This window comes from Homo sapiens, chromosome 2, assembly GCF_000001405.40.
Source record: "Homo sapiens chromosome 2, GRCh38.p14 Primary Assembly".
Classification (NCBI taxonomy): Eukaryota; Metazoa; Chordata; class Mammalia; order Primates; family Hominidae; genus Homo; species Homo sapiens.
The window spans coordinates 203,725,531-203,739,531 of record NC_000002.12 but is presented as its reverse complement, the minus strand read 5'-3'; the positions used below and the strand labels follow the sequence as shown (position 1 = coordinate 203,739,531).

Below are 14,001 nucleotides of genomic sequence, written 5' to 3'. Positions count from 1 at the left end.
GTGTGTGTGTGTGTGTGTGGGTCTGTGTGTGTGTGTGTGTGTGTGTGTGTGTGTGCTATTAGAGTGTTCAGCTATGATATGAGTATGACAGGTGAAGAAGTTGAAATTTTCTGTCCCCAGCATTTCCATTTGTGAGCACTTTTTGAATCAGAGCCAGAGAAGGCATTTATAGAATTTGTTGGGGGTAAAATCACCCCAGAAAAAAGAGTAGCAGGTCAGTAGTAGGATGGGATTTTAACATTTTAGACAAAGACAACATTTTCAGAAGTCTTAAACTAAAGATATGTTTAAGATATAGCCAATACTCCATTAAGAGGGAATTTGGGGACTTCAATGGAAAATCAACTTACTCCTGACAGTGGCTGAGTTGGCATGACTTTTCTAACAGTACTGGTTTTCCTCACTGCACAAAAATTTCTAAAACGTAAATGAACTTATATTCATCAGATTTTCTTTCACTAGATTTGGCTGTGTATATATTTTACCTCCTGTTTTTTTAATAAAATGAATTTTTGAACTTCTTAAGAGGAAAGTAGAAAATAGAACTGGCTTTCTCCCTCTCAAAGTATGATTATAACATTTAGACTCACCGTTAATTCATAAGGCCATGTAAAACTCATTCACTCAGTCAATAAATATTTATTATATACCAGGCACTGCTCTGGGCACTGGAGATACAGCAAGAAACAAAGCAAAGTTACTTGCCTCATGAAGCTTATAAACTACAAATAAATAAGAAAAATGTCTAATGTAAGAGATGGTAAAATGCTATGGAGAAAAATAAGCAAGGAAAGCAGACAGGGTGTGGGGTAGTTTAACTAGGGGAGAAGATGACACTTGAGCAAGGACCTGAAGGGTGACGAGGCAAGCCAGGTCATCTACAGAAGGACATTCTAGACAGAGTAAACAGGACATGTAAAGGCCCTGAGGTAGGAACATGCCTGTGATGGTTGAGTATTCCTGATACATTCCTATATGTCAGAAAGTATGCATATATCTATAGGAAAGAGAGACTTTCTGAGCCTCAAATGGCCTTGCAGATAACACAGACTCCCTCACCCCAGGTCTTGAGAGAGTGTGTGTCACTCTCTTTGACCTGGATTATTAATAAGTCTATAGCAATCAAGATCCTGGTTCTGGGTCCTTTATTGGCACCATCTCTAATCTCCAGCATGTAGTTGAATTTAACACTTTGGGATCAGTATCCAGGTCTGGTATAGTTCCCAGCTGGCAGTGCAAATGGCTGGGATAAGGGATCAGACATGCATTTAACCATCAATACCCTCATTAAAATAGCCATGAGGACCGGTGGCTCAGTTAGTTAACCCGAGGGACTGATGGGGTCAAGGCTGAAGTTGGATCTCTGTCAAACTTCTCAGCATTCACATGACACAGAACACATAGGTAAGCCTAGCCTGACATCTCAAAGAGGTCAGCCATTGGTCTGATAAGAAATTGTGACTGAAGTCAAGCAAACAAACCAGAAACGTACCCTGCTTGAAGTGAAATTAGTATTTGAAAGTCTAGCTTTTTCAAAAAAGGCTAAACTGGAGATTTATACAAGGATTTACCCCACACCTCTTTTAAATAGCAAGTTCTATCCAAATTCCTTGCCAAAGCGAAGCATATCTATTCTGAAAGCATATCTTTCTTAATACCAAAAGACAATATTAAAGTACAAATTTAAAGCAGACATATAGTAGTTTAGTAATTTTATCACTGAATATGTAGAACATAATGTACATACACTTGGTCTCTTTAAATTGGCATGCTTAACCCAAATAGGTGAGCTCACAATCAAAAATTATAGGAGTACCATTAATTATAAGACTCTTACAATAATAGCAGCAAATGACATTGTTTTCTTCATAACTACCATATCTGAAACTATGAAAGCATTGCTCCTACCACTGTTTTTGAACCATTTCTTGGTTCATACTAATAGTGAAAACGGACTTCCCTGTATAACATTTCTTCTTTGTTTCTGTGCAGAGTGAGTAAGAAACATCTCAAGTGTGATTCATCTTTAGTAGGCCTATTTTTCCAGTCAGAAAACAAAATCATTTATTACCATAGATCAAGTCTTTCCATTTAAAAAAAAGTATTTATTTATTTGCCACTGCCATTTCAAAAAACTCTCCAGCTCTGTCATTTTCAAATACAATCTGATAACTTGGATTGAAGAACTCTGTGTGCCCAAGAAGCTGGCAAGTGGCACACGTGCCAGGGTAAATCCAACAGTTCTTCAGCACCCAAGTACTGCTGAGTTTGATCTTCTTGGGACTGATTAAATCCATGGAATGGAAGCCCACTTAAAAATCAACCAAAGTACAGTATTTTCGATCTGGAATCTCAAGATTCCTACTCCTCCCTTCCTTCTCACATTAAAAAAAAATTAAAAGACCTCTTTCTATACATAAAAGTGGGAGGTGCCTTATATTTCATTACAAGATAAACTATTTCAAGAAACAGGAAAATGATGGAAGTTAAAAGGTCCTCATATTATAGCACCTCATCCCTGCGTAGTGGGTTTAAATTTGTGTTACAATATTCCCCCCTTCTTAGGCTATTGCCCAGTTTAATTTTTATACATAATTTATCTATATGGCAATAATACCAATAGCTAACATTGTATGTCGGGCATGCTACTAAATGTCAGGGATAGGCAGAGTCAAAGACAGACTTGGGCCATGCCCTTATGGAGATTATACTATAGGAAGAGACATTTGTAACCATTATCTCCATTTTATAGTTGAAGAACCATCATCTTAGGTGGGCAGTGACTTGCCTGAGGCTATTCAACTACTAACGAGACTTGAACCAAGTCTACGTGCCTCTAAAACCTAAGCTCCTTCAACACCTGAATTAACTGAAGCATGAACAAATGGTGAGGGCCACTGAAGGGCCATTCTTCAAGGTCCCCAGGCATATTCTAGTTGACTCAAACTGTAGGTAGAAAAATATCCATGGTCATTTCAGGGTCAGGCCTTACCCAGTCCCTTAAGAACTCTGATGCTCTCTTCAAAAGACACATTCCAAAATACTTTCCCATGTGAATGGACCTCCAAGGTACAGGAGCAGCTGAGCCCAGAGTTTTGGAGCTCTGAGCCCTAAACCACATAAAGTCCCTGTAAAGGAGCTCTCACCAGGGCACCTTCTGCCTGACCACTTCTGGAAGATTGTCACCTAATGCTGGCTATCTCCTCAGCACATGGCAAGAATTTCATTACTCCATTCTATTCGTCCTCCTTCCAAAGAACCTTCTTGGGACTCATCCTCATACTCTAATGAATGCTAACATCCCTTTTTCACAGTATTCTCACTTCTCCTATGGACGCTCTTTCCACAACCCACTTTGGATCTCCACACCGACATTAAAGAGACCAACTGTGCAACCCTGAAACATATGAAACAGGAAAGCTCCTACCTGGTCTGATTGGAATGAACTGTTAGACAAATAATCCTTCACAGTACTCAAATAATTTTGTGGTTTGTTGTTGTTGTTGTTGTTGTTGTTGTTGTTTGAGATGGAGTCTCACTCTGTCGCCCAGGCTGGAGAGCTGTGGCACTATCTCGGCTCACTGCAACCTCCGCCTGCCAGGTTCAAGCGATTCTCATGCCTCAGCCTCTTGGGCAGCTGGGATTACAGGTGCCTGCCACCAGGCCAAGCTAAATTTTGTATTTTTAGTACAGACGGAGTTTCACCATCTTGACCAGGCTGGTCCTGATCTCAAGTGATCTGCCCACCTCGGCCTCCCAAAGTGCTGGGATTACAAGCATGAGCCACTGCGCCAGGTCCCATAGTACTCAAATAATTTTGACATAAAGTGACCTTATTTCCTGACATATTCTTTCTTCATGTAGGAGAACTATTTTATTCTTTCGAAAGTATATTGTGAACATTAACACTGAAGTCTCATGACAGGGAGTGAGGAAAGCAACTTGGTTTACCTGATATTGCTTTGAGGGAATCCCTCATTTGACCAAATCCCTCATTTGGTCAAAATGACTAAATATGATCAGAATTCATAAAAGACAATGTCTATGTATTTCTAAACTAAAGGAAAACAGCATTAAATAGGAACTACGTGGCTCATTTCATGAGTGGGAGACAGTGTTTTAATGGTTTTTAAATATGTCTTCCTATCCCTCCCCCTACTCTAACTTACCCCGTTTAACCCACTAACCAAAAGATTAAACACCCATTTAACCAAAAGGAATGATTTCCTAGCCTTTCTTCTGCAACTAAAATGTCTGTGGATACCACACTTTGCTTGACTGAGATGTGCAGGTGAGTGAGAAAGGGAAGAGGCTCCCAGAATCCACTCCCTTTTTGTTTTCTACCCTAACTTCTCAGTCAAGTCACTAAGTACATGGTAAGTTGGAATGTGGGCCATGGCACTGTAAGACTTGGCCTGTCACAGGAAATCTCTTTTACTTCATTTCAGAGTCTCAAAATGATCTTGATATTTGGTCTAGTCACTCGAGAAAAATTGGCATTGGTGGCCCAACAGGGGCCTGAGGTGGCCGGCTGGAGATGGCGGTCATTTCCTATCCAGAGCAGTGATATTGAGCAGATGGGGGCTGCCAGCCGGCTGGCTTCTGGATAGGCGTCCGTGTCAGGAGCGATAGGCTGCGAAGTCGCGTGGTGGGGCATAGGGCTGGTAATGCTTGCGGGTGGGCCCGGGGCGGCGGGGAGTCATGTTCATGTAGTCACTGTGCAGGAGCCTGCTCCTCTTACTCCTCACCTGCAGGAAAGAGAAGTGTCAGTATGGAGGGACAATGTCATGGAAGGAGTTCTAAGACTGTGGGCACAACTATTCATAATATTAACTGTCAAATGACAGAGACACTAAAACACTAACCTTTTTTGAGCACCTTGGACTTGGGTAATGACTAATCACACCCAACTACTGACTCTTCACATTGAACTTGAAAAATCTCAAAGAAAGTATTTTAGAGAAATGCATCCCTGTTACTCTCAATGCTGTCATCTGACCTGAATTAAAAATGCACACTAATTAACATATCCACTGTTGATATGTAAATACACTTGAAGGCCCTTCCTCCTTTGACTAGGTTAAGCCTACCCACATTGTGATCTTCTTACATTAGCATTTGCTTAACAAGCTGTTTTTCCATAATTAACCGAAGAGGACTTTCAACTCCTCCAGAGTCTGTAATAATCACAAATTTGTAAAGGTGGAGTCCAAACTAATGGCAATTTACAGTTCTAGACAACTAGTACATTCCTATGTCTTTATGGGTATGTATTTCTACACTCATCTCTCTTTCATAGGCTTGGCTCCATCAGGATGAATTTCCACCAGAAGTGAGGGAAGTAAGGGCAATAGTTTCACCCACCATGAATCTTAGCAAAATTTTTGACTAAGGGTTAGGAACATCATTTCTGAATCAATGTGATAGTAAAATTCTACATTTCTTAACAAATGACCCAGAAAACATCTAAAAACAGAAAGCCATCAGATTTCTGGATTCAGAATTCTCTATTATGAAAAAAGTGCCTAGTTCCTGGCACACAGGCTGATACCTAAGTAGATAATGCTGTACATGAATGACATGATACCTGAATGAATAAATAAGTGAATGATTTCAGCCCTGGTTTTGTTTCCATACACTCCTGCCTGAGCACTTCACACCTTCCTTGTCAAAGGGGCATGAGTAAGTGCTAAAGAAAGGTTTGAAAAACGCTGACTTCCATGTTACTAAACACAGCTAACATGTTTTAAGTCCTCATCTTCTTCAACTCTCAGCAGTATTCTATACTATTGATAACTCTCTTCTTTTTGTGATACTATTTCTCTTTGCCATCTATGACATCCCAGTTTTTATCCTACCTGTCTTGTCACTCCTTCCCTGCCTCCTTTGCAAGCTCATCCTTCTCTAACCAGCCGTTAGAATTTCTCACTGCTTGGTCCTAGGCCTTCTTCTCTATCCTCTTTCCCTAGGCAATCTTATCCACATTCACAGCTTCAATTACCACCTACTCACCCAAATTTATATCTCTGGACTAAACCTCAAAGCCACTCTAAACTCAACATGTCTAAAATAAAACTCAAGATTTCCCCCAAATGCTGTTTTTTTTTTACCAGTGTTTCTCATCTGAGTGAATGACACTACCATATATACAGCTGCCCAAGACAGACCTCCTAACCTCATCCTTGACACCTCAAGCTCCCTTAATCCCTGTCCCAGGAGACATTTAGTGAAGTCTAAAAACATTTTGGATCATCACAACGGGGAGGGATGCTACTGGCATCTACTGGGTAGAGGTCAGAGATGCTGCTAAACATCCTACAATGCAATGAAGAATTGTTTTGGTTCTACATCCTTTCTGTAAATGAAAGACTAGAGCTGTCTTGAGCACAAGATCACAGCAGGGCAGGGGTGAGGCCGAGGAAATGTCTGTCCCCAGATGAGTGTAGAAAACAGCTGATAACCTGGGAAGCATTTTTAGTACTTACTCCAACCCTGAGGACTCCCTTTGCCAAACCTCCAAGTGTCAGCCTCTGCCTCCGGACACCCAAACCAAATCATAGCTGGTAGAGAGGCCACAGCAATAAAGGTGTCTTGATTCTCAGGTTCTTTACATTGCACATAAAATAATGAAAGGTCTGTTGCAGTCAGCTCCCATGCTTATCCTCAAGTGATTGTCAGATGGCAGACTTACTTATTATCACCCTAACTCTAAACACAGCAGTGGGATGAAAATGACAGATGCATGGCTGGGAACAAACACCACGCAGAACCTACAGCACCCATGTGCATTGAGTATGTGTGCATATGTGTGCAGGAAGTACCTACCCTATGTGTCTGTGTCATCTCCACCCCTTCAACAGTGAATGTCAGCTAATGATATGTAATTTCTGGACCATTCCTCCTTTGCCCTTCTCCCCATGCCAGCCTTACCCACTTGTTTCCTGGGAACAGCAGCAATACACAGGGCATATGCAAGGTAATCTACTTAAGTACGTGGTCTTCAAGAATCTACTGGATTATTATAAAAAGCAGACACTACCTGTACACACACTATCTACATTCCTCACATTATGATCTGCAGTGGGGAACATAATGTTTTTTAAAAAGATTTCTTTAGGAAAACGGGCAGCTTTACCAGCACAGCTGCATGAATGGAGAATTGAAAGACAGTGACAGGTGCTGGCCTGTGACAGCTTGACCAAAGGGAGCTCTTTATTTACTCAAATGTCAACATCAGGTCAAGAACTGAGATAGAATCTGCAGCTGCTCCCAGAAACCCGCTCAGCCTAGAAACCCACTCAACCCAGAACTGCCTACAGTAGCATATCAGGCCCTCAGGAAGTTCCGGAAAACAGCAACTTACATCAAGGCACGCTGCAGACCAGCCAAAAATAGGATCTCAGAAAATTACCCAGGAAACAGCTAAACTCCAGGGATCCATAATGGCCTAGATGCCCAACTCAGCAAGGTACTTGTTGCTTAAATACCAACAGCAGGAAAAGATGAGCCCAGAGTAAAAATACTATGTTATTCTACGAAATATAGACAAACTTGTATTTATACTCTTTTGGTAAGAGAGTACAAAGACCCAGGTTTGAGATGCAGATAAGTGGTAGTTTTTATTGGGTAACCGAATTGACTACAAGAGGCCACAAATGACAGGACTGCCCAATTCACAGGGGGTCTGTAAGACAAAGTAAAACAAAAATAAAATTTTTTTAAAACAAAGCAAGATGAATCTCACTAGGAATTAGTAGTACTGCCAAGGAAAAACCCAGTGTGTCTATGATGTGTCTGAGTTGAAAGTGAACGGTTTAAATTCATTGAAAGTGAGAAGCTGCTTTTGTCCCTTTGGGTGACTCAAGTCACTCAACAAATTGATGTCTCATTATAGTAACTGACATTCTAATGAATATTTATAATAAGTTTTCAATAATGAGCAGTGTCCTCTGGCCATTGAAGGTTAAAGTAATTCCCAAAACTACTTTCTGCAGAGCTAGTAAATTACTTTGACCTAGGTCAGCATATCACAGGGGAATGCCTTTCCTGGAGGGGTATCCAAAGGGCCACTGCACCTGGCCTTTAAGTTAGAAAGTTGAGATTCCCAATAAGAGGATTGAAAAGCCATATGGTAGGCATAAAAGCCAATGGCCAGAGATTAAGAAGAAACAAGAACTAAGAATTCTAAAAACTCGAAAATTATCAGCAAACACCAGAGGATCAAAGTTAGAAGGTAAGTTGGATGAAGATACCAAGATCTGGAAAGGTGAAAGTAGTCAACTAACATCAGAGGCAGAATTCAGGCAACATTTTACAATACCAAAGCCCCACCTTCAGGGTTGGGCAACTTGCAGAAGGCAAGCCAGGCAAATTCTTAAGATGATACCTAGTATAAAGAATTTCCAGGAACAAGCAACCACTTTGTTTCCTACCCTGCGGCAAGTACAGAGTAAGCAACAGGCAGCCTGACAAATGTCCATCTGAGCCCTAGGGTCTTCTGAACTGCAAGGAGCATGTGGGGAACAACTGAAAGGTAAGCTTTGGCAATAGGCCAAGAAGAGTCTAAAAGAATCTAAGACTGGATAATAGGAAGGCATGGCTGTGGATCCAGGTCTGTACCCGCAGTCACCAAGCTGACAGTAAACAGAATGACTTCATATGATATGGCTTTCAGAAATCACTGACCCATCTATGAATTAGGTACATATACAGATTATGCCTTAAAGATGAGTATCATACTTCAGGCAGACTCATTTAAATCCTTAATTTGACCTCTCTGGAGGTTATCAATTCATCAATCCAATAAGCATTCATTAAGCACCAAATGTACTTAATATCAAATGGAGAATATCAAGAGAAATAGTCTTTTGGAGACTATCAAGAGAAATAGTCTTTTATGTTTGAGAATACATTTCTCATTGAAGAAATGACTCATCCATGCATGTAACTTCTAGAAAAAAATTCAAAGACAACATGGAGTCAATACATTCTGTACCATACTATGTACCTAAGAAGTTTCTGAGTAAGAACAAGGGTCACTCAGGGGTACGTTCTTAACTGTAGGTGCGTTCATCAAAATGTGTTCAAACCCAGGCCAAAAATTCAATGTTGAGGAAGGTAAAGAAAAATACACCACATTTATTACGTAAACATTTGCAAAAGTTAGTACTTCAATTCAGTGGTGAGAGCTCAGAAAATTCTAACTCCCATTATAGTTTCATAATGACAGCACCATACTTGGCCTCACACAATTCAACTGCTTCAGAGGAGAAAAAAAAATATGACTCAGATAAACAGATCTAGTTTCTTTGCTAGGTTTGAATACACAATTTCAGTAGCCAAGTTTCTCATGATTTTTGATCAAGCCAACATTGTCCATTGGCTTCAGTTGCCTAGCTTCCCAAGTTGCCTAGGTGTTTATACATATATACGCATTAAAACTGTTTTATGTGTCATAATTATATTGCAAAATGGGGAGAAGAAAGGCAACTGCTCCTAATCCCTCCACCCTAATTTACCCATTTAGCTTCTTATTTTGCCTCACCACCTACTCAATGCCTTCTGGGAAATCTAACTCATATCAGATTTTTATCTCAGATAGAGTTGAACAAGCTAAAAGAGAACCTACTCAAGCATGGGGAAAAGAAAATCATCATCCTATATTAAACAGAAAATAAACCACATAGGCAAAATTCTTGAATGTGTTCAGATTTCATGTGCAGTGGAAAAGTTACATAAAAGCAGTGCTGCTTCTCTTACCCAGAAAATAATAAAGGCCACTGTTACTAGCAAGCTATAGCAAGCCAGGACTCCACCAACCACCACCAGCACCCAAAAGGGCTTAGAAGGTCCGGGAAATAGGGGACTTGGACAAAGGTGTTTCCCTGAAAAACAAAATAGAGTGGATTAAATGATACAGGAATAGCAATTGAGTGCATTTCCTTCCTTGTGAACATCAGAGAAAAATGTGAAAGAAATAAAAATATTAAACATATCACCAGCTTAGAGTGAATAGATTTCCTCTTTGAGACTTACCCAACCCCACCACTGACCATGATCTGGTCAGTTTTCACGACCACAGTTGAAAGCCATTACGTTAGGATGGTACACTGGTAGACTTGTATTCACTTGACTTTGTGGATTCTACTGTGTGATTCAAAACGGTGACTTCCAATGGCCTTAACCTAACTTTATCCGTTTCTCCCATCAGAAGATAGTTAATCTAGACCCTAAACTGCATCCTTGGAATAAGTTAAATAATATGCATGTTTTCAAGCCTTAAGAAAATCATCAGCCTAATATGGCAGTCAGAACACTGGACTGCTAATCAGAGGATAAATTTCTAGTTCCAACCCTGTCTCATAGATTATATAATGACAAACAAATCACTTTGTATCTTTAGGAATCAAAAGGGGATGAGAAGGAACCTATAGAATTCTATTCAAAATTAGAGAAAATTAGAACTAGAAAGCATACCAAAAATCCTCTAGTCCATTGATTTTCCATCCTAGCTGCACAATAAATTATCCGAGAAAGTTTGAAAATATACTGATGTCCAGCACCCCTTCCTCAACCCATATCAATTACATCAGAATCTCAGGGCTGGAACTAGGCATTGGTATTTCTTTTAAAACCTACTCAGATTTATAATATACAGATAGGATTGAAAATTACTAAGTACAGGATCATTGGTGTCCTTCTCAGTTCTAACATAAATGATATGTGTATATGTGTGTATACATATATATAAAATACTATCCTAAAGTAGCATGCCTTTCATATAGGAAAAAATATTTCACTCTTAGCTACAAGCAAAATAGCATAATTTTTTAACCTTTGACTTGATACAATTAAAATATTCTGTTTGGATATTACAGATATTAGAAATCTAAATAGGACTCAGCAAACAAAATATTCACACATTAATTGTCTCTATTTTGCCAGAACACAAAAGCTTATCTGCCACATTAACAATTCTTTCCTTATTTAGTATCCTATTTTTCATCAGCATGGCTCTGTTCCAGCATTGAAGAAAAACCATTCATTGGCATTATGCTAGGATTCAGTACAAAACTGAACATATGTGTTTCTTATTATCATTCCACAAAAATGAAAAGCTATGATATATCCACAAAGTATACCAAAAAATCAAACTTTACTTGTTGCTACCAATACTGTATTCTTCTGAGTTGGGGAATCATGATTTTTCTCCCTAACATTTAGGCAGAACATAACATCAACAAAAGTTCAGTAGACTTATTTTCACTAATTCACAAATACTGCTTAACAGTTGTACTGAGTTTTTGACTATGAAAAAGTTAGGTGACTTATCCAAGATCACACAGTTGATTAATAGCAAATTTTATGTCCCCCGGTTTCTAGTCCAGCATTCTTTGTATATTTTAGAAAATGGAAAGGTACGGGCTGGGCGCGGTGGCTTACGCCTGTAATCACAGCACTTTGGGAGGCCCAGGTGGGCAGATCACGAGGTCAGGAGATTGAGACCATCCTTGCTAACACGGTGAAACCCCGTCTCTACTAAAAGTACAAAAAATGGCTGGGCGCGGTGGCTCACGCCTGTAATCCCAGCACTTTGGGAGGCCAACACGGGCGGGTCACGAGGTCAGGAAATCGAGACCATCCTGGCTAACAAGGTGAAACCCTGTCTACTAAAAATACAAAAAATTAGCCGGGCATGGTGGCAGGTACCTGTAGTCCCAGCTACTCAGGAGGCTGAGGCAGGAGAATGGCATGAACCTGGGAGGCGGAGCTTGCAGTGAGCCGAGATCGCGCCACCGCATTCCAGCCTGGGCGACAGAGCAAGACTCCCTCTCAAAAAAAAAAATTAATTAATTAAAATAAATAAATAAATAAATATACAAAAAATAAGCCAGGCGTGGTGGCGGGCCCTGTAGTCCCAGCTGATCGGGAGGCTGAGGCAGGAGAATGACGTGAACCCGGGAGGCAGAGCTTGCAGTGAACTGAGATCCCGCCACTGCACTCCAGCCTGGGCGACAGAGCGAGAGTCCGTCTCAAAAAAAAAGAAAAAGAAAAAGAAAAGAAAAGGAAGGAAGGAAGGAAGGAAGGAAGGAAGGAAGGAAAAAGAAAATGGAAAGGTACTTTTACAGAGGAAGATTATGGAGCACAAAAAAAGAATTAATTAGAAATAGAAGTGAGTCTTCCTGAGTCTTAACCCATTAGACCCAGCTGTTACTTGAGGGCACCTGGGCTTACATTTTAATGGTAACCTCTTTTCTGCCATGATCCACTGGAATGGAGAAAAATGATCTGTTCCCACATGCGGTAACTTCATCACTTACTCTCCCGCTCAATGTCAGCAAAGGAAAATAAAGATATTCAAAATATAACCTTGAATCTCCTCTACAGTAAAGGGAAAAATTTTTCTGAAAACATTATTTGTCTTTGTTAGTATCAAATCACTTAGGCCTTATTCAACCCCACCACTGACCACAACCCAGTTTTCAGGACTGCATTTGAAAACCATTACTTTAGGGTGGTACACTGGTAAAGTTGTATGTTACCTTTCACATGGATAATGGTTCCATTGCTCTTCTCATTGTCTAGGTAAGGAGGAGGATACATAACTTCAATTTTGCAGAAGTAAATATCTGTTTGGTTAACATACAAATTCTGGAGGTAGAATGTCACTGATTCATTGCCCAATTTCCCATCACAGTTGAACCCCGTTTTTGAGTAAACCTGAAGCTGCTGGGAGTAATTCCCATATACAACACAGACTTCCACAGCACTATCCAGTCCTTTGTGAAGGGATGCCCGGAACTCCCTTGAGAAGAGATTGTAGGAATACTTGCAGCTAAGGTTGACCGCATTGTCGTACGCTACAAGCATGGGCGACTGCTTCACCAAAATCTTGTTTCCTGGGGGAAAAAAAAATCATTTGCTTAGAACAAGAATATAAGGATAATTTTTCTTCCTGAGAGCAAAATATATTAATTAACTAAATGAACAGATCTCCAGCAAAGGTTTTCTCTTGGCAGAAGATGTAGGACCTCTTCAGGGGATAATTATACTGAGAGTTCAAAAGTTAACATTTCAATATTATTTTCATCCTCTTTTGAATGGAACAATGGAGCATGTTTTCACCCAGAAGGCAGTACATGGCTTTCTGTTAGCATTGAGCACCACAGCTAGGCACTCACAATTTTTAAATCTATATTCCTGAGACATTAATATTAATCATGCATTGGGCCAATTTCCTGACTGAGTGATATATTTGGAGGTGGCTTTAGTGCCTGACACAGACACAAAAATAGATCTGTTTCTTTGTTTGTTTGTTTTTGAGACAGAGTCTTGCTCTGTTGCCCAGGCTGAAGTGCAGTGGTGCAATCTCAGCTCACTGCAACCTCCACCCACCGAGTTCAAACAATTCTCCTGCCTCAGTCTCTTAAGTAGCTGGGATTACAGGTATGCACCACCACGCCCAGCTAATTTTTCTATTTTTTTAGTATAGACGGGGTTTCACCATGTTGGCTAGCCTGGTCTCAAACTCCTGGCCTCAAGTGATCTGACCACCTTGGCCTCCCAAAGTGCTGGGATTACAAGCATGAGCCACCATGCCCAACCTACAAATAGATTTGTTTTTAAGTTGTGATACAGGTTTTTGTAAAGGAATTAAAATATTTTGAAACATTTTTACTTTGTTTATTGCCCATTGCAAGAGTGGGATGAAGAGATAAGAAAAAATATAACCCAAGAGTTTGCTTTAATGTGTTTTCTGCACCAAATTCAGAGAATAGCCTCCCCAAGAAATTCATAGATCTATTCCCTTATATCATGAAAGGTGAAAGACTCCAGAGGGGAGTTATCTCTCTGGTCCATCATCTACCTTTACTGCTATCCCAATAAAAGATCAAAGAATCTGGAGAGCATTTAGTTCAATCTTTAAAAGCAAAGAACCTGAAACTAGTTTATCAACTCCATAAGTGAAGAGAACACATTGATCTCATTTCCCATGGTATC

General features: G+C 40.1%; 1 protein-coding gene across 4 annotated transcripts in view; it reads right to left on the bottom strand.

Moving 5' to 3' along the window:
* CD28 (CD28 molecule) overlaps positions 620–14,001 on the bottom strand; it is a 32,431-nt gene continuing 19,049 nt past the window's right edge. For 2 of the 4 annotated variants that reach the window (NM_001410981.1, NM_006139.4), the window contains exons 2-4: positions 12,543–12,899; positions 9,760–9,884; positions 620–4,748 (exon numbers count right to left, since the gene is read on the bottom strand). In NM_001410981.1, coding sequence (NP_001397910.1) covers positions 4,620–4,748; positions 9,760–9,884; positions 12,543–12,899 — 611 coding nt within the window. In that variant the 3' untranslated portion in view covers positions 620–4,619. The remainder of the gene's footprint in view (positions 4,749–9,759; positions 9,885–12,542; positions 12,900–14,001) is intronic. The other 2 variants (NM_001243077.2, NM_001243078.2) reach the window with 2 other exon arrangements.